Source organism: Homo sapiens, chromosome 2 (assembly GCF_000001405.40).
Source record: "Homo sapiens chromosome 2, GRCh38.p14 Primary Assembly".
In the NCBI taxonomy this organism is placed as follows: Eukaryota; Metazoa; Chordata; class Mammalia; order Primates; family Hominidae; genus Homo; species Homo sapiens.
Window position 1 is genome coordinate 19,784,644 of NC_000002.12, and position 19,034 is coordinate 19,803,677.

The 19,034-nt window shown below is 47.6% G+C and overlaps 1 annotated feature.

Annotated features, from left to right (window-relative positions):
- Window positions 1,503-2,702: an enhancer, noted in NCBI's record as "MED14-independent group 3 enhancer chr2:19985907-19987106 (GRCh37/hg19 assembly coordinates)". NCBI's record gives its function as "activates an origin of replication core promoter dependent on BRD2, BRD4, P300/CBP and CDK7 cofactors, and independent of MED14, by STARR-seq in HCT116 cells {active_cell/tissue: HCT116}" and the evidence as "EXISTENCE:reporter gene assay evidence [ECO:0000049][PMID:35650434]".

The following is a 19,034-nucleotide window of genomic DNA, read 5'->3' on the forward strand; positions in this document are numbered from 1 at the left end:
GGAGAGTGAGTCGACAGCCACATTCAGGTAACTGGGAAGATACCCAGGAGCGGGCTGGCCACACTCGGGGATGGTTTGAGGGTGATATGCAGATGACGCCACTCACCCCTGCAATGCTGCTTCACTCTTCAGAACCAGCACAGCCCAAACTGCTCAACAGTGTTTCATCCAAGCAAATGAGAGGCAGATTCCTTAATAAAGAAACAAAACAAAAGAGACCCACGCACTGAGAGTAGGAGGCTGGTTCTGACCTGACTCTGCCATGAACTCCCCGAATGACCTTGGACCAATCACTTGAGCTGCCCAGACCTCAGTTTACACTATATGTAAAAGAGGAATCGTTTTTCCCGGGGCCCTCTCACAGGATGGCTGTGATTACCCATGGAACAAGCAACAACTAAGGGCTTGCAAAGTTAAAGTGCCAGACAAAAAAGTCTCCCTGGTAGAGGTTGCAACTTCCTCAACCCCTGAGAGGTGACAAGGTAGATATCAGCAATTGGACTTACCTCCCAATCTAAGTCCAGGCATATGGCTTCCCCAATGCCATAAAGGGAAAGACAGGAAATTACTTTTTCCCTGAGGGTGCTGAACTAGGCAGATAGCCAGCCTATTGTTATTCAATGTCAGAGTCAAAAATCCTGAGAGACCTCGATACCCCTCACAACAGTGTCAAAACTGGAACAATCTTAACACACACACACACACACACACACACACACACACACAAAACTTTCACTTTCATCATCCCCGGGCATCCCACTCAGGGCATAAAGCACGCCTGGGAACAAGAATCACAGGTTTCCTACCTCGCTGGAGACTTCACAATGACCCAGGGCCCCTAAGAGTTCCAAATATAGTCCAGGCTCCCAGAGCCAAGGCAGTGACTGGCCAGAGCCTCCCCATTTAGGGGTACTGACCTGAGTGCCATCTACCCGTCAAAGTGCTTGAGCCACAACAACAACCCCTGAACGTGAGGCTGATTAAAGAGGGTTACGTGAACTGCCGAATTAAGCCGTCCAAAATTGGATAAAGTGATTGTGAAATCTGTTTTGAGTCAACCTATACATGTCTCATTGCAGGAAAATGTCTCGGTAAGAGTTCATGGAGAAAAAGTCTGGCAACTCATTGTTGGCTGACCTTCCTGGGCTCCTAATATTCAGTTCCCCAAAAGGCATCTTAGCCATGTAATTTCCAATATGGGAACAATTTGAGTTGCAATTAGGCAAATCTCAGAAGGTTCTGCCACTGATTTGTTCATTCTCTCAATATTATTCTATAGGACACACTAAAATACTGCACCAGGTTCACGCAGAGGACAATTAGGACTGCTGCATGTCAGGTTACAGAGGCTGGGTAAACACATCCATGTCGCCATTCAGGAATGGTGTCGTTAGGCCTGCAGAGCTGGGCACAGGGCCCTCTGCCCCAAAGGACACCTACTAATGGCTCTGTGGGGGACAGAGGCTGTTAGCAACCCAGAGCTTTGGGCTGTGGTGATGGCAGGTCCAGAGCAAGTGGAGAGGGGGTCAGGGTAGCTAGCAGCCGGAATGCAACCCTGGAGATTGTAGATGAAGGAAAGCTAACAGACAACCCCTGGCAGTAACATTAGATTTTGTTAAAAGCTACATCTTTCACTGAGCACCTCCTCTGTGTCAGGCTCAAGCCAGGGCCCAGGGACACTGAGATGAAAAAGACATAGCTCTTGACCTCAAGAAGCCCAGTGGGAGGGCATATCAGCAAGCCCAATTATGATAAAAGATAAATTACAATCAAGATACTATTTTCAAAAGTGCCAAGAAAGCACAGAAAAGGAAGAGTTTGATTCGCCTGCAGTGTAAGAATAAGCTTCCCATCGAAGGGCATATTTGAGCAAGCCTTGATGCATGGCTAAGAGTAGGGCAGGTAGAGAGGAGAGAAATGGCCATTTTAGAGGAGAATGCTTGGTTGGGATGAGTTGGCACTTTCTGAGCCATGAGTGCCTCCCAAGGACTGAGTCATGTTCCTCTTTTTCAGTAAGCAAAAACTGCTAGTCTTCAGTTTATCTCAGGCCTGCCTCCAGGGAGAAGAAACTGTCATTCCAGTCCCCTTTGAGGCATATTTGGGTTTCCCCGGACTCCTGTTATGATTTGCTCTTTGTCCCCAGGTGGCTAGTTTACTCCCAGCGAAGAGGAATGTCTGGATTCTCCTCTAAGCCCTTTGCACAAAGTGCAGAAGCTGTCTCATCCCTTCCTGACCAAGCACATGACTCCGACCAGATTCTGCTAGAATTCAAGCATAGGTGAGGGCAAAGCCAGCCTTGACTGGGGACCTGCAGAGCAAGGCCTGAGTCAGGTTTATCTTTGTTTTTCCTTTGCCCCCACACCTACTCAGGCCCAGCTCTCAGGATCAAGTGTGTGGGTGAGTGAAGAAGCCCAAGTCAATAGCCGGGCAGTGCCTGGATGGTTAAGGGAGCACTCAAATCTCAACCTTGGGATCTGGTTAAGGGGCCGAATCACAAGCAGGAGAGAGGGGAAAAATGGGGCAATTAGTCTCAGGAACGAAAGGCAGAGGTAAGTTGTGTCAGGGCCACGTGTGGAGTGAGATTCAGGGACCATATAGGTCTGGAAGCCAGGAAGGAGAGTGGGTCGCCACCGGGCAAACCCAGCTTCCCAGAGCAAGAGAACCTTAGGAAGCATGCAGGGCGACTGCGGAGGCAGAATCAACAACTCAGCATGGCTCCGCGTGGTGGGCATCCTGCTAAAAACCACCTTCCGATCACAGTGGGAGTCGATTTGCACTTTGTAAACAGAGTTCCCTTCCCTGACACAGGAGTACCCCTTCCTCCATGAATTTCCTTTGGCATCTTCCTGCAGGTGACATGGATAGGCAGCTGCCACTTTCCACCCACGAAGAAACCCTGAGGATGAAAACTACCCAGGAACACTGCATGACAACTGCAGCAGCCCCGCACTCTATCCCTGGGCCTCTTGCTCAACTGAGAAAAATAAGCCCTATTTGTTTAAACCAACTATTCCACTTTTTCTTTTCAAGCAGCCAAATTCACTCCCTGATACACCTGACACTGGGCAGGTACTTGGTAAATGCGCATGGATGCTCCTGAGTCATCAGATAGCAGGAAAGATGCAGATGATCCCTGTGGATGAAATGCCTTGCCTTGGCTTCCAGCTGCGTGATGCTGTTCAAACTTCAAATCAGCCCCACAGACACCCCTTCTCCTCTCTTTCTCCTTCACACACACATCTCCTTTGAGTGCAGAGAGGCTACCGTTCCTGCAACAGAATCTGCCTTCCAATCGCAAGGTCACTCATCAAGGTGCTGCTTAAGCTGGGATTATTTCTTAATGATGTTCTAGGAGGGACAAAGCAGGAGCTCTCACCTATAAGTCCCGGAGCCAGGCCCTTCATGCGTCCCCGTCCCAGTCTCCTCATCTGGTAAATAGGGGTTAAAATTATTCCACAAGTCATAGATGGGGTAAAAAATGCTCCTTTTGGAAGTAAGAGTTTATTTCTGTCATGGTTAGTATTTTCTCATTTGTTTCTGGCTGAATGAAAGGTCTGCTGCTTCTTAATGATACTCCTGGTGCTGGGCATGGTGGCTTATGCCTGTAATCTCAGTACTTTGGGAGGCCGAGGTAGGAGGATCACTTGAGCCCAGGAATTTGAGACCAGCCTGGGCAACATAGCAAGACCCCCCCTCTACAAAAATAAAAATAAAAAAATTAGCTGATGTGGGGGTGCACACCTGTATTCCTAGCTACTCTGGAGGCTGAGGCAGGAGGATCACTTGAGCCCAGGAGTTTGAGATCACAGTGAGCTATGATCCTGCTGCTACACTCCAGCCTAGGTGACAGAGTAAGACCCTGTCTCTAAAAATAAATTTAAAAGAAAATTAAGGATACTCCCAGATCATAAAATTATTCTGCCAAGATGCTTGTGGCTTCGCTTAGGGATACAGCTACCCCAAAGCAGACAGTCGCTTGTCCAGTATCTCCTGAGCCACTACCAACACATAAGCCCAACCCCATCCGGACAGTAACCAGACCTGTGCCTTCCTAACCCAAATACAGGCTCTAAGGGTTGGCTGGGGGTGAGGATAGGAGCCTGAGCCTTCTTGCAGGTCTCACTGCCCAGTGCCCCAGCCCTCCAAGGTCTCCCCTTGACAGGCCTAAAAATGAAAACGCCTAATCCTACACAGGGTACAAGACACATCACAAGCCACGCAGATGTCACTGGCCATTTTAAAAAGCCCATGCTGGACATGGCTGTACCCAGAGAGCCTAAGGACTCCAAGAAATACCACTGGGGACTGATCACATTTGATTCTCTCAGTGACCCACTGACCCTAAGTACAGTGTCCAGTGTCTATACTGGTGCCTAGAGTTGGGCTGTCCTGCCTCCAAGGAGGCCTGCTCAGCGGGTGGGTCAGTATGTAAATAACTGGGCACAGAAAGAGCCTGAAAGTCAGGCCCACCCATGCTGGGGGAAAGGCCCAGAGCAGGGAGAAACACTTTTTCCAGGAAATCAGGAAAGCCATCATGAAGATTTCCCCAGCACGGGTCATTCTGAAGGAGGCAACAGCATGAGCAAGGGTGGGAAGCAGGAAAACAAGCAGCATCAACAAGGAATGGAGGGCTCAGTCCCAGAACACCTGGTGCTGATGGGGAGCAAGGAGAGTGGGGTAGGAAGGCAGGCTGGGGGCCAGGGAGGGCCAGAAGTTGGGCTTTGTCAGGAGGATGTCAGATGACATTGATGCATGGGGGGTATGACAAAGGTGGTCCTTGAGAAGATGGATCTGGTAGAGGATAGAGAGGGAGGGTGAAAGCAGGGAGCAGGGAGAGCTTTGGGGTGGCCCTGGTGGGCTCTGAGCTAGGATGCTGACAGCAGAAACAGATGGGAGAGAGGTCTTACGGTGGGAGAATTGGTCAGCCAGAGCTGCACTCTGAAAACAGGGAGTGGCAAAGAGAATACCCAGCATTTGGTTTGGGTGCCTAAGAGCATAGTGGTTCAATGAAAAACCTCAGGAACTAAAGAAAATAGCAAGTTAGAGAGAAGATGGTGAGCGGTGCAGAGGGAGCATCCCCTCCTACCGCACCACACTTTCCCGAGTGTACAGACCATACTCTCCTCCCTGTTGGAGCTATTTGAGACCACATCCGTCCCCACTCCAGGTGTCATGCAGAGCTTCCCCCATCCCTCAACTCTGGTCCAATGCCTGTTACAGCCTTTGACAGGCCGTTGATTCAGGGATGTTTGGTCATTCATGGGTTGAGATCCATGAAGTCACTTTAAAGGACAACACAAATGTGTCCCTGCCTCTGGTGACCGGAGCCCAGCACTGTCTCGACGGGAGATAATGAGACCGTCCCTTGATAGCAGGTGTCACTTAGCTCCATGGAATCAACCTCTTCTTGCTTCAATGTCACTGCCAGGTGGAGGAGAGCCATATCTGAGCATCTGTTTGTTTACAGGCATTGGCCATGGGGATTCCCTTTTGGCCAAGAACCAGAGTCCCATACCATGATGATTTCCAGCTTCTTTTCCATTGATTAACAAGCCGCAGGGGGGGTGTCACAATAAAAACCAATGCTACCACAGACCCATTAATTGTAGCTCCTTCTAAGCCCAATCAGCTGCAGGTAGGGTGACCAACCATCCCAATTTGCCTGGGAGTCTCCAGTTTTAGCACCAAAAGTCACACACCGCAGGAAAGTCCTCAATCCCAAGCGAATGTGAACAGCTGGTCACCCTAGCTGCAGAAGAGCTCTCTGATGTCCAGACAGGAGCAACCCTGAGGAGTTTCTTGGTTTGTGTTCCCAGCTGCTGTGGGAACACAGGCAGACAGCCAGCAGAGGCACTGCCCCGGGGCCGCCGAGTCTCCCCACCACAGACTCAGGCCCTCCGTAGCCTCTTCAGAGGCTACAATGCCCTGTCCTTTGCCTCCACCCCCTGTGAGATTAAGCCCATCCTCAGAGGCCCGCCAGAAGGCTGGGCACACAACATGTGCTCTGTAAGGAATGGTCAATTGTCTTAGGAAGTCTGTCCCTCTGCCTCTCCGATCTTCGCTTTTCTCCTCTCAGGGAAAGGCTGAATGGATTCATGTGGGCACTTGATTCTACCGGAATGCCACAACCAAGAATTAATTCCCAGGACAAATTCAGGTTCCTATTGCTGATTTATTGACACTCTATCCATCCAAATCCAGTTTGGTAAACCATTTAATCATGAGGTTTGTATATGAGAGTTTCCTAATGAGACATTTTACACCTTTTTTTGTTTGTTTTTTTTTTTTTGAGATGGAGTCTCGCTCTGTCACCCAGGTTAGAGTGCAGTGGGGCATGATCTTATCTCACTGCAACCTCCACCTCCTGGGTTCAAGTGATTCTCCTGCCTCAGCTTACCATAACTGGGATTACAGGCACCCACCACCAAGCCCAGCTAATTTTTTGTATTTTTAGTAGAGACAGGGTTTCACCGTGTTAGCCAGGATGGTCTCAATCTCCTGACCTCGTGATCAGATCTTCTGACCTCATGATCTGCCCACCGCAGCCTCCCAAAGTGCTGGCATTACAGGCGTGAGCCACTGCACCCAGACTTTACATCTGTTTTCTAAGAAAAGAAGCCATATGTTTCCAAGAGCAAACTGACTTGGTACCCTCAATAATGGAGTCCTGCTAAGGGGACTTCTAGGGAAAGGAGAGTCCTCTTTATCCTGTAAGGAGTGGAAAAGTGAGAGGCACGCAAAAGGCTAGATGCTGCACCACGGGGACATGCAGACTCACCTGCTTTGTGTTTTTAATAAATGTTTTTATTTTGAGATAACTTTAAACTTACAGAAAAAGCGCAAAGGTAGTACATGGAGTTTGCCAATGTTCCCTGTTGTTAATATTCTTACATTTCCACAATATATTCATCAAAACTAAGAAACCAGCATTTCCACAATATATTCATCAAAACTAAGAAACCAGCATTGATTGGCTACAATTAGCTTTTTTTTCCTTCAGATTTCACCAGTTTTTCCAACGTCCCTTTTCTGTTCCAGGATCCAATTCAGGTTTCACCTTGCAAAAAAGCCTTGTGTCTTCTTAAGTTCCTCTGGTCTGTAACAGTTTCCCAGACTTTCCTTGCTCTTTATGTCCTTGAGAGTTTTGGGACACCCTGGTCAGATATTTTGTAGCACACCCCTCAGTTTGGGCTTGTCTGATGTTTATCTCATGATTAGACTGATGCTATGGGTTTTGGAGAAAAAATATAATGGAAGTGAAGTGCTTTCCTCTCCACAGCCAATGAGGCTACACGCTGTCAACACGACTTACCTCTCACGATGTGAACTTTGTCCCCTAGCCAAGGTAGTGTCTGCCAGTTTCTCCACCATGGAACAGAGCAGGATTTTTCAAATGTCTGCCTTTCCAAACCTTATTGGGGAAAGCAGCAACAATAGCTTCTATGTTCATCCAACTCCCTGGCCGTGACTACTTGTCCAGGGGTGACAAGCATTTGTACAAGTTCCCCCATGACCAGGCTAGAAATCTGATCAACCTCACACAGAACCTAAAGTGGTCCCACTCCATCAGGAATTGTATAACAACAGAAGGTAGCCCTGGTCCAAGAGAAAACTGCAGTCCTTAGACTGATGTCCTCAAAGAAAGCCTATACAGTTGACCCGTGAACAACATGGGTTTGAACTGTGTGGTTCCACTTACATGTGGAATTTTCTTCAACCAAACACAGATTGAAAATAAGAGTATTCACAGGATATGAAACCTGCATATACAAAGGGCCAATTTTTTTGTATATGGAGGTTCCATAGGGCCAACGGAGAGACTTGAGTATATGTGGATTTGGGTATACTCCAGGGTCCTGGAATCAGTCCTTGAGTATACCAAGGGACAACTGTAGTTGCAAGAAAAAAAAATATGTATATTTACATTTGTATTAGTCCATTTTGACACTGCTATAAAGAACTTCCCTAAGACTAGGTAATTTATAAAGGAAAGAGGTTTTATTGACTCACAGTTCCACATGGCTGGGGAGGCCTCAGGAAACTTACGATCATGGCAAAAAGGGAAGCAGTCACCTTCTTCACAAGGTGGCAGGAGAGGGAAGAACAAAGGAGGGACTTCCAAACGCTTATAAAACCATCAGATCTTGTGAGAACTCACTCACTATCACAAGAACAGCACGGAGTAACCACCCCCATGACACATAACCAATCCCTTGACACATGGGGATTACGGGTCCCTTCTTTGACACGTGGAAATTACAATTTGAGATAAGATTTAGGTGGGGACACAGAGCCAAACCATATCAACAATCATGACTATTACGTTGCTCTGAGAACATGAATCTTCTCTAGCCTTAGTAAATGTCGGTTGAATTGAACTGGGTAGATCCAGTTCCTTCTACTCTCTTGCTGTGCCTCTCTCCTCTTTATTTCCCTCTCTTTTGCTTTTTGTTCCCTGTCTTGGTCCTTTAAGTGGTTATTACAGAATACAGTGTAATTTTTAATTATTATGCTTCTTAAAAAAGAGTTATGTCTCTGCTCTCCTTTATTTATGAAACAGAAAGTTGGGAGAGTTTCACTTCCATCTCCAAAAGAAATGGCTAGGATTGCTCTACGCATATGTGATTACTGGTGTTTGTTTTCTGGAACCGGCAGTGGGAACACACTTTCTAATATGTGATCTGGTGAGTGACAGAGTATTTGACACCAGGGTTGTTGGGTCACCACATCCAAACCTTACTCCAGTAGGGAACGGGACATTAGAAATAACTTCCTGCTGCTTCTGAGTTTATCTTGGGAGGAAATTTCAAGTGTTGTCGCTTAAAATTGGAGATGACCTCAGTTCTCATCTAGTCCAACTACCTTGCTCTACAGATGGGGAAATCTAAAACCTGTTGATAAGAGGAGGCTCGTACAAGGTCACTTTGCAAGTGAGTGGCTGTGGAACAAGAGCCCAGCAGCTTGGATTCCCACTGTAGTGATCTTTCTACTATATCAGGGTTATTTCACGAAGAAAACAACTACCTTTCCCCACACAGCTGTTTATAAGTAAGTTAGGGCATAAAAAAATCCCACACAGGCCCTTTTCCTATACAAAGTGTGCTATGAACGCTTTCTAATTTAATCAAAATGCACCTCAGAGTTTAACCAAACTAAACAGAACCCAGGTTGGAATCAGCACCACTTTGACCATCATACCCAGACCCTGGCTCCACCCACTCCTCACATAGCCCAAGCCCAGGTTAAGGCACTCAGACATGAGCCTGGACTCCATAAGATAAACCTTACACTTCGGGGTTATTGCTCAGTAATGTGACTGTTCTTGATGTGGGAATCCAAATGACTTGGCTGCAGAGATTTTATAGGCCTGGGAATGAAGGGGCTGCCAGCCGCCGACTTAGCTCCACATCAAGCAGCCCACCAAGGTGTTGGAACTAGGAGCAGGGTCAGCAGCAAAGGTGGCCTCTCAGGGATTACACAGGTTCTGGAAGTCCTTCAGGAAACTGAAGCTAAGGGGTTCTCCTGCCAGTCTCCAGATATCCAGCACATCTGTCTGTCCTATCAGCTTTTCTGCTATTTCCTGTACTCACCCAAATATGATGGAAGAGGAGGAATCTAGAAAAGACCCAGAGAAAAGTAATAAAGCCTGAGAATGGCTCTGGCCAGCTGTGTGGACGGTTACACTCCAGCATGCGGCAAGCCTGGAGGAGAACATGCAGGACAAGGGCTGAGGCTCTGCTCCAGACACCCTATGCTGGGAGGTGTCTGTGGCCACCACTGAGTTATATGCTGTCACTACACCGCATAAGAAACAATGAAGATGCCAATGTCATTGTCAATAACTCTGAATACATTCCACCCACATCACCAGTTGGGTTTGGCTGACTTATCCTCTTAAGAGATTGCCCAGAGTCACTCACTGAAGATGCCATTCAGGTATTGCTATGGTAGAAACTCCAACGCAGGTGGACCTAGCTGATCATGTGAGCCCAACCTCAGTGTCCAGGCAAGGATTCCTTGATGTTGAGTCTGGCAGGCCCCCTGTGTAATTTGTACTCTAGGTCCCAACAGATAGTGAAGTCACCTTAGATCGCAACAGCATCTAAGGGATATCAAACAAATTGTTATTTTAAAACCTAGGCGGCCAGGTGCAATGGCTCATGCCTGTAATCCCAGCACTTTGGGAGGTGGAAGTGGGCGGATCATGAGGTCAGGAGTTAGAGACCAGCCTGGCCAACATGGTGAAACCCCATCTCTACTAAAAATACAAAAATTAGCCAGGCATGGTGGTGGGCGCCTGTAATCCCAGCTACTCGGGAGGCAGAGGCAGGAGAATCGCTTGAACCCTTGAGGCGGAGGTTGCAGTGAGCCGACACTGCGCCATTATACTGCACCCTGGGTGACGGAGCGAGACTCCATCCCAAAAAAAAAAAAAAAACCTAGGCTCTCAAATAAAAGCCCAAAGACTCTCCATTGCCATTACAAATTTCATATACACTCATTAGTAAAACTCTCTACAGTCTTAGCTCAACCCACTTTTTCATACGCTGGAGACCCGCTTGCTCCCCAGCATATACACTGTACTACAGCCCCATCAGACTTTCTTCCTAGTCCTTTTACCAGGAATTCTCTTCCTCCATCAAAGCCATCTCCCTTTGCCTTTTGCTGAGCTCTTATTCATCCTCCAAACCCATCAAAAGCTTCCTCCAAGAAGTCTTTTTCATCATCTCTGGACTATCTTCTCTGCAAAACACCCAAAGAATTTCTTTTGTATCTATTTTATGGTTCTGATGCTCATAAACATCAAATTGTATTAGCATCAGCAATTTCCCTAAATAGGAACTAAGCTCCCGCTTCCAGCCATATATATAGAAAGCAAAACAGAAAGATCTGAGTCCTCAAGACCCCAGGGATAAAAGACTTTCACACTCTCTTCTATTCACACAATTATAATTCAGCTTCATTTTTTTGTCTTAATAAAAAGCATTTGCAATGTTGCTAATGTTCCTCCGGGCCTGTAAACATTTTTACTCCAAACACGTCAGCTGCAAAATGTTGGAGCCCCACTCAGAGAAAGAACAAGAAATCCAGATTCGCTTCTAGCCAACAGCCAGGGTGGGAGTTGAGACCCCACTCTGAGCAAGCTGCCCAGCACCTGGGTGGGCATGTGCAATCCAATACAGGCAGACCCCAACTAGTAAAATGAGGGGGGGAAGAGAGGATGTTTTTGTTCTTTTAGAAAAGGGCCCCCAATGGTATATATAAAGCCCCACGAAATATTTCACAGCTCACATCAAGAAGCGGAAAGCACCTTGATATTCAGACCCCTGACTGCTGCCAGGGTCCAAAGCCGTCCCTTAGCCTCAACTTCACACTTGCCAGAGGACAAAGCCAACTAGACCATGTGAAACCCGCATGCCTTCGCCACCTCTTAGCTGCCTAGAGGGACAATTAAATTAAAAATATAATGACTTTACACCAGAAGGAAGTTTATCCAAACCACACATGAAAAGTCGATTTCTGATTTCGTAGCCACACCTCTGTACTGCTTGGTTAAAGACCAAACAATTGTGAAACGTAGAGAAGAACGATGAGCAAGTCGTGAATGTGGGTTTCTGTTTCCCAGTAATCTTTTTCAGACTTTAGAAATGCCTACGGTTTCTGGAGATATGAGTGTCTAAGTATAACGAGAATATGTTTGGATTTCACACATTCTTATTTTACAGCAGAAATCCTTGGTAAGTGAGGAAGTCCCGTGAAAGCTGAAAAATCATTGGCTTTGACAATAGACCTATAAATAGAAGGCACAGGAATCATGAATATGCTAATGGATTTTCCCTGCTATGGCCTTGCGGTATTGAGGTTTTAGCCCTAACATGTACATCAATTGGTGCCAAGTTTAACCATCCTGCAATCTTCAGCAGGAATCCCTGCTTTACATGGAACAAGCGGCATGAATCACAGATGTTAGGGGAGGGCCCAGGATTTCTGAATCAGAAAACTGTCTCCCTGCAAATTTTTGATGATTTAGTACTTGGGTAAATGTTCTCTCTAAAATGGACCAGTAATCAGGTGGTTCAAAGCTTATGAGTACAATAGAAATTTAAATATTTTCTAGCTTAACACATTACATAAGGATAAATCAGCCAACAGACATTTATGGATCCATGGAGCATCTATAATAAATGGGTCTTAACTTTACTGGAATGTAAGCCCTATGAGGGCAAGGATGTATCCACCATGGAGTGGATAAAAGAGTGATGGGCACATGGTAGGTGTTGATACTTATCTATTGGATTAATTGGGTGGTTGATTCATTAATTAATTAAACTGTATTACTGAAGGAGAATATCATTTCAGGGGATCCCCAGCTGTCCTAGGAAATATGACACCAACTGAACACATGGAACTTGCTATAAAGAAAGGCAGCAGAGGGAAGACTTACCTGTTTCCAGTACAGTAACCCTGCTGAAGGAGCAATGGTGGGCAGTCAAGTTACCCCTCATTCATTCACTCAACACTCACCAACCTAGTTCTTACTGTGCTCCCAGCTCCAGGTCAGGGCAGAACTATAGACATGGCCAGAACACCACTGTCAGAAATAGCATCTTTAACCCATCAATCCAACCCATCCATGACAGGCTCTGAATGCCTGTCCAGCCTAGATAGGGGGTAAGGGTGGGGGATGCCCACAGAGAAGTGCAGGGCCCAGCCATCTCGTGGGAGCTGGACGTCCAGCCAATGCACAATATGAGCACATGTGTCCCTTTGACTTCAGCTCTTCCTCAGGTCCATGTGTTTTGCCCCAGGGATGTGCAAAAATCTGAAGGGAGATCACAGATGTTGTGCAGGAACAGAATGTGTGTGTAGCAAAGCAAATGAGGGCATCTTGGAAAGCTGGCGAGGACCAAGTCACAGAGGACCTTGGATGCAGAAAGGATAAAACAAGCAAGAATTTTAAAGTTGTAAGGAACGTTGGGCAGAGTGGTTAAGGAGACAGACTTTGAATCACATTGACTTGGGTTAGAATCCAAGTTTTGCAGATTAGCAATCATGGTATGCTGAACAAGTTAAACTCATTTGATCTCAGTTTCCTTGTCTGTAAAACACAAGCAATGCTATGAATGCCTTGTAGAGTCATTACCTCTTCCTAGTAAGCTTCCAATAAACTGTAGCTGGTTTACAAATGGTGTGTGGGATCAGGTAGCTGAAAGTACATACATACCCTGTTCTCGTCTCCCCACCACACACACACCTACTTCAGTTCACGGTAGGCACTCTGCCTGAATTACAGGTCCCCTTGTCTGCTGCAATCAGTTCACCTCCTGATGCTATCTCCTCTAGGAAGCATTCCTTGGTTAGCTCAGCAGGGTGTGATCTCCCCTGTCTGAGAACCCATAATGCTACATTTCTACATCTCTGGCAGGCTGTGATGCAATTCTGCCTTGTACCATAGAAATCTGTGTTCTGTTTAAATCTGCTCCATCAGACCAAAACGTCTTTGAGAGTTACTACCATCCTTTACACCTTCATAGGCCCCACTGTGACTCATAGATAGCCTGCTTTGATGCATGTCTATTTGATTGAGTCCAGATCTCCACGAGTTTTGCAGGTGAGGAAACTAGACTCTAGATCTTCCAGCCCATCGGGGTAGAATGGAGGCCTTTGGCCTCAGGCTCCCACACCTAAGCTCTGTTTCAGAATCATCAGAGAGACATTTCATTTGATCATGGAATGGAGCAGTCCCGCAGATCAAGCTCAGCCCTCGGAAGGAGCAGAGGCAGTGGGAAAGGCTGAAGGCTCCACTGTGGTACAGGGGCAGCAATGCCAAACTCCCAGTTGGTAACAGAGTGTTGGCCTTGACTGTGTTCCTGCCTCTGGAAACAAGACCCAGCCTTCAATGCAACGCTGATAACATCTCACCTGAAGGCAGCACAGGCAGGCCTGACTAAGGCTTCCACTCTTCAGGGGCCAGCCAGCAACATCCGGAAGTGCATGGAACAACCCAGGCTGCATCCTCCCTCCTCCATGTTCCTTCAAGAGTCCCTTCCTCCTTGCTACTCCAACCCACCTGCTCCAGCCTGGCCAAAGGGATGCTTCTGAAACATGGATCCAACCACCTTACTTCTCTGGCTGCAAACCCCTGCCCCACCCCATCCCACTGGATTGTTCATGGAACTGAGTTGAAACAGTGTGAGGATAGATTATGGGGTCTCCATGTATGGCCAAGTGGAATCACTCTGTCTCTAAGCACCCAGGCCTACTTGACTCCCAATCTATGTCTCCCTGGAAGCTCCATCCATGCAACTGTTCATCTGTACATCTGTGCATTCAACTCACATTTACTGGAAAGGGAATCTCACAAGAATGAAAGGACTGGGGATTAAGGGGTGATACTATTTGAGCTAGGTTCTAGCCCTGGCTCTATGCTAACCCACAATGAGTTGTTACATGCTCTAAGCCCTGGTTTAGTGGGTCCCTTTCTTCAGTCACACCAAGTGTCCTGTTTGAAATGGGTGCAGGGACCTCAATCTCTCTCTCTTCCTCTGAAGGTCCTGAGGAAAAGGATCAGCCAGATTCTGAAGTGGCCCTGCTCTGACCACCTGGGTTCTGCAATCCTAAATGACCTGGATGCTGGTCAGAAGCTCAGCTCCATAAGGAACACAGTTTTACAGCAGAGCAGGGAGCCATTGACTGGGCCCCTCCTGACCCACAGAGCTTCCCCAACTGGCATGAATAAAAGTCACTCCAGCACTTGTACAAAAGCCGAAGAGTCCAAAACAGCATAATGGGTGCTATGATGGAAGGGAAGAAGGCTCCGGGGGAGGGACAAGGGAGAGGAGTTAGGAATAGTAGCAATAAGGTGTGGCCAGGATAGAGGTCCTGCAGCCCTGGAACAGGGAATCCAGGTCAGAGAAAGGGAGGTGGTGGAGCCAGTCTCGGATGAGTTCATGAGGAGGCAACGCTGGGGCTGGACCTTGAATGACAAAGGTGACAGCGACTGTTTATTGTGCATCTACTGGGCACTGGGCAATATAAATGCATTATCTCTCATCCTTACTAAAACCCTAGAAGATAGGAAGTATAAATTCCATTTTACTGATAAGGAAATTGAGGTCGAGATAAGTTCTCTGGTTGTCTGGTCTGTTAATGTCAAAGATAGGATTTGAACCCAAGTGCATCTCATTCCAGAGCCCACGCTCCTTCACTACACAGGATCTGGATAGGGAAGGGGTGCAGAGGGCAGCCCAAAGACGGGCTCCCTGCAGTGCAAAAGCCTGGAGGCAAGACCAGGGAATAGCCTTTGGTATAAAGGAGGTTGTGCATTGTCCGAGGACAGAAGCTTGTCTCTATCCTGGGAAAAAGGCACACTGCCTCACTCAGGCCTAGAGAAAGCCTGGTGGCTTGCTCCTCCCCAAACCCCAGTCCCTGTCCCAGGTTGTTTACCTCCAGTACTTATGGAAATATAAGTGCTCTCACCTGACTCGGAGGACTGCAATGAACCAGGCAGGAGCACACTCTATGAACCTTCTGCCCATCCAGCAGCATGCCTCCAGGGGACAACCAGCCCCCAGGGTTCCTGGCAGCTCATCTAGACATTTCCATTTGATGCTATGCAAATGGATGAGCCTGCCGCTGCCATCAGGACCACCACTCCATGCTGGGAGTTTTCATGAAACAGATTCCAAACCTGCCCTTAGGCAGACATGGCCAACCCCAGATCCCAGCTCCACCAGGAGATCCCAGCTGCGGGGTGCTGGAAAGGGGCAAGTCAGCACTCGCAGCTGAAATCTACCTCTGGAGTACAGTTCTTCCCAGAGCCACAGCACCCCCTGCCCATGACAGGCCTCTCGAAGGCCATGCTAACACCTGCCCACTTCTAGAAGCTGCATGCCAGAGAGGCTAACATACCCAGTTAACCCACAAAGACCCACACCCTGAGCCAAGCCACCAGCTAATTAAAACATTCTGTGAGTGACTTCCACGCAGATGGAAAAAAACTGAAACAACACAGAACAAAGGAAAGGAGAGACTTCTGTTTGGGTCCTGGCTGTCACTATACCAGCCATGTGACCTCTGGCAAGCCACTTATTCTCTGATCTTTTCTTTCTTATCTGGTAGTAGTAACATCCAACATTTATTTTTTAAATTTGTAGATCACAATGTACTTTTACATAAACTATTTTATTGAAGGTGATGCTCGCAAAACCTTGCGAGGTAAGAACTATTGACCCCGTTTTGCAGATGAGGAGCACCAGGGTCAGAGAGGTCAACCTCCATATTCAAGCCACACAGCCATTAAGTCTGGCCTGGAACCAGATCCCCTAATAGCCTGCCCTCCCTGCTGCGTCCACCTCCCACAGCCTACTTGGGAAGACGCTCCCCTGTGAAGCCTTCCCAGACATCTTGTCAACCATCATGGCATTCTCCCTCTCATCACTTCAATGTCTGGCTTTCTGCATTCTGATTTTCTACAGTCTGGAACCCTTGGGGCAGCTGGAAGGCTCTCCTGCAGGTACATTCACTGTTCACCATTCAAGCCCCCAAAATAGAACATTCTCTTCCGCCCGACCTCTGCTAGACCAAATGCCACCACCAACAGGTCCCCAAAGACAAAAAGTGGGAGAAAAACTTCTGGGCTGGCTGTAGGAATGTGCAGTTAAAGTAGGACAGGAAAGTTGAGAGTTTGATCTAGAAATAGGACCCTATATAGAAAAAAAGAAAGGAGGGGCATGATCCTATCGGCAACTGCCCAAGTTGGCCACAGCTGACAATACTGACATAGGAACACATTCTCTGATGTCCTAGGAGAGGGTGATAGGACCATCCAGCTGCTGTTGCACGCGCCAGGGACCACACCTGGCTCTGCAGCCCTCTGGGCATGCTGCCCGCTGGGTCTCGTGGGCAGTGCTGACTCACAGAGGCCAGACCAAGGGGACAGCCTGGCCCGGCTCTCAGCACGTCTGACTCACCGTCTCCTCCTGAGCCACTGTACGACATTCCTTCTCCAAGAAACAACATCCATCTTTTTTTTTTAACTGGCAGAAGAGCTTTTTCATGTTCTTGGGACTGTAAACCAAGCATCGAATTTTCCGCAACTTTTTCTAGTAAGTGTGCCTTGTGGGAAAGTTAAAAACAAGTCCATTTTTGGGCCTAAACATTGTTATAACTCCTGAGCTGCCTTAGTTTCTCCCGAGGTCGTTCACCTAGGGGACGCCAAAAGCAAGGATGTTTCAGAGATCGTTGATCAAAGTAGGCACAAGATTAGGTAGTCAGCTTTGCTTGAATGAGTGTTTAATATTTAATAGAAATCCACATGTCAGGCACTGAATAGTCATTGTGCATGTATTTCTCTAGGCCCTACCATAAGCCTGCAGAGTCAGAATTGTCATCCCTGTTTTAAAGCTGTGGAAACTGAGGCTCAGAAAGGTTAAGCAACTTGTACAAAGTTAAACATTGGAGCCAAGATTTAAGCTCATGTCTATCTAATCCCAAAACTTCTATGCCTTAACTAAACCATGCAGCTTCTTTCCTCTCAGCCCCCACACATCCAGGCTGAGAGCAGGTCATTCTCCTGCAATTCGTACATTCCTGGAGGTTACTGAGCATGCCAAAGAGTTTCTACGAAGAGAATCCCTTGGCCTCCATCTCTGGCCAAGCTGTCTGCTCCTACCATCCCTGCCCCTCCTGACTCCTGAGGCTAAAGCTCCCTGGCTGCATCTCCCGGAAAAGGCAAAGAGTAAAAAATCACAGTTCCTATGGGTGCTACCCAGCCAGTCAAGCAATGTGTCCTCCTGGGAAGTTACTAACCTCTACCAGACTATACAACAGCCCATCCTCAAAGCCCTACATGGACCCATAAAAGCAAACCCTGTACCGAAGGCCCCTGTAGGGCACAGGTGGTGCTTGGGAGTAAGTCTGCTCATTGCAGATGGCATGCTGATGGGCAGATGGCCAGGTGGGCACTGCCCATGTACAGAGAGCTCATGCTGGATGCTTTGTTTACCCCTTGGACCCACCCTCCACTGTTCTCTGGCCTGGAGGCCAACCTGGGGCTGGAAGAATGGGCTTCCTTGCCCTTTGTCCTCCAGCTGGGTCTGGCCAGTGGAAGGTACTGGCACTATAGCAGAGGGCAGGAGGTGAATAAGACCAGGCTACTTGCCCAGCTCCTCTCAGGCAGCCTCTCCTGAGCCCCACAGCTGCAAGTACAGGTACGGTGGCTGCAACTGTCCGCCCCTACCACCCACCGCCCCCAGAGGGCTTCACCATCCCTTGCTCATGGCCCTTGCTCTTCTCACACTTTGAAAATAGGCCCCCCCCCTCCATTAAACTCTCCACGGTTACTTCCGTCTGTTCCTGCCAGGTCCCCAGCTCATTCAGAGTGGTTTAGTGCAAAGGCGTCGCCTTGAGTAAAGGAAGTGTGGGGTAAGCCAAGGCTATTTTGATGGCTTTTCTTTGGCTTTTATCATCCTCAAAATCAGGAAATTTTAGATGCTGTTCTTAGTGCATTTGCTGTGCATTTAAACTGTCGGCTACAATTCAGAAGCACCGGCACTTCTGTCAGCCACAGCTTCAATTCCCTGGCAGTAAATTCCTTAAGTAAAGAGAGAGGCCTTGGCCTCACAGCCTTCCCAGGATCCACGAGGTACCCACTCACACTTGGAATACTTGCCAGGTAACATCAGACTCAAAGCAACATTCTGCATAAAGCATGTTTGTTGGATTTAAGAATAAAATTTTTATTGAGATCCATTATCTTCCCAGTCTCCATTAAAATTGACTTGCTTTCAGTCTGTACAGATTTATTCTTAACGGAAGAGATAAGAAAAAGACCAAGACCCAATTCCTACCCTCAAGAAGCTCACAGATAAATGAATGCAATGTAACAGGAGCAATAAGAACACAAAAGCGACTCTCACACTGCCTGGAGGTACAAGGAAGGCTTCACAGAGGAGTGGCATCCAAGATGATGTCTGAAGGGTGGCAAGGAGCTCAGCATGTGAATAGATGAGTGAGGGCATTCCAGGTAGTGG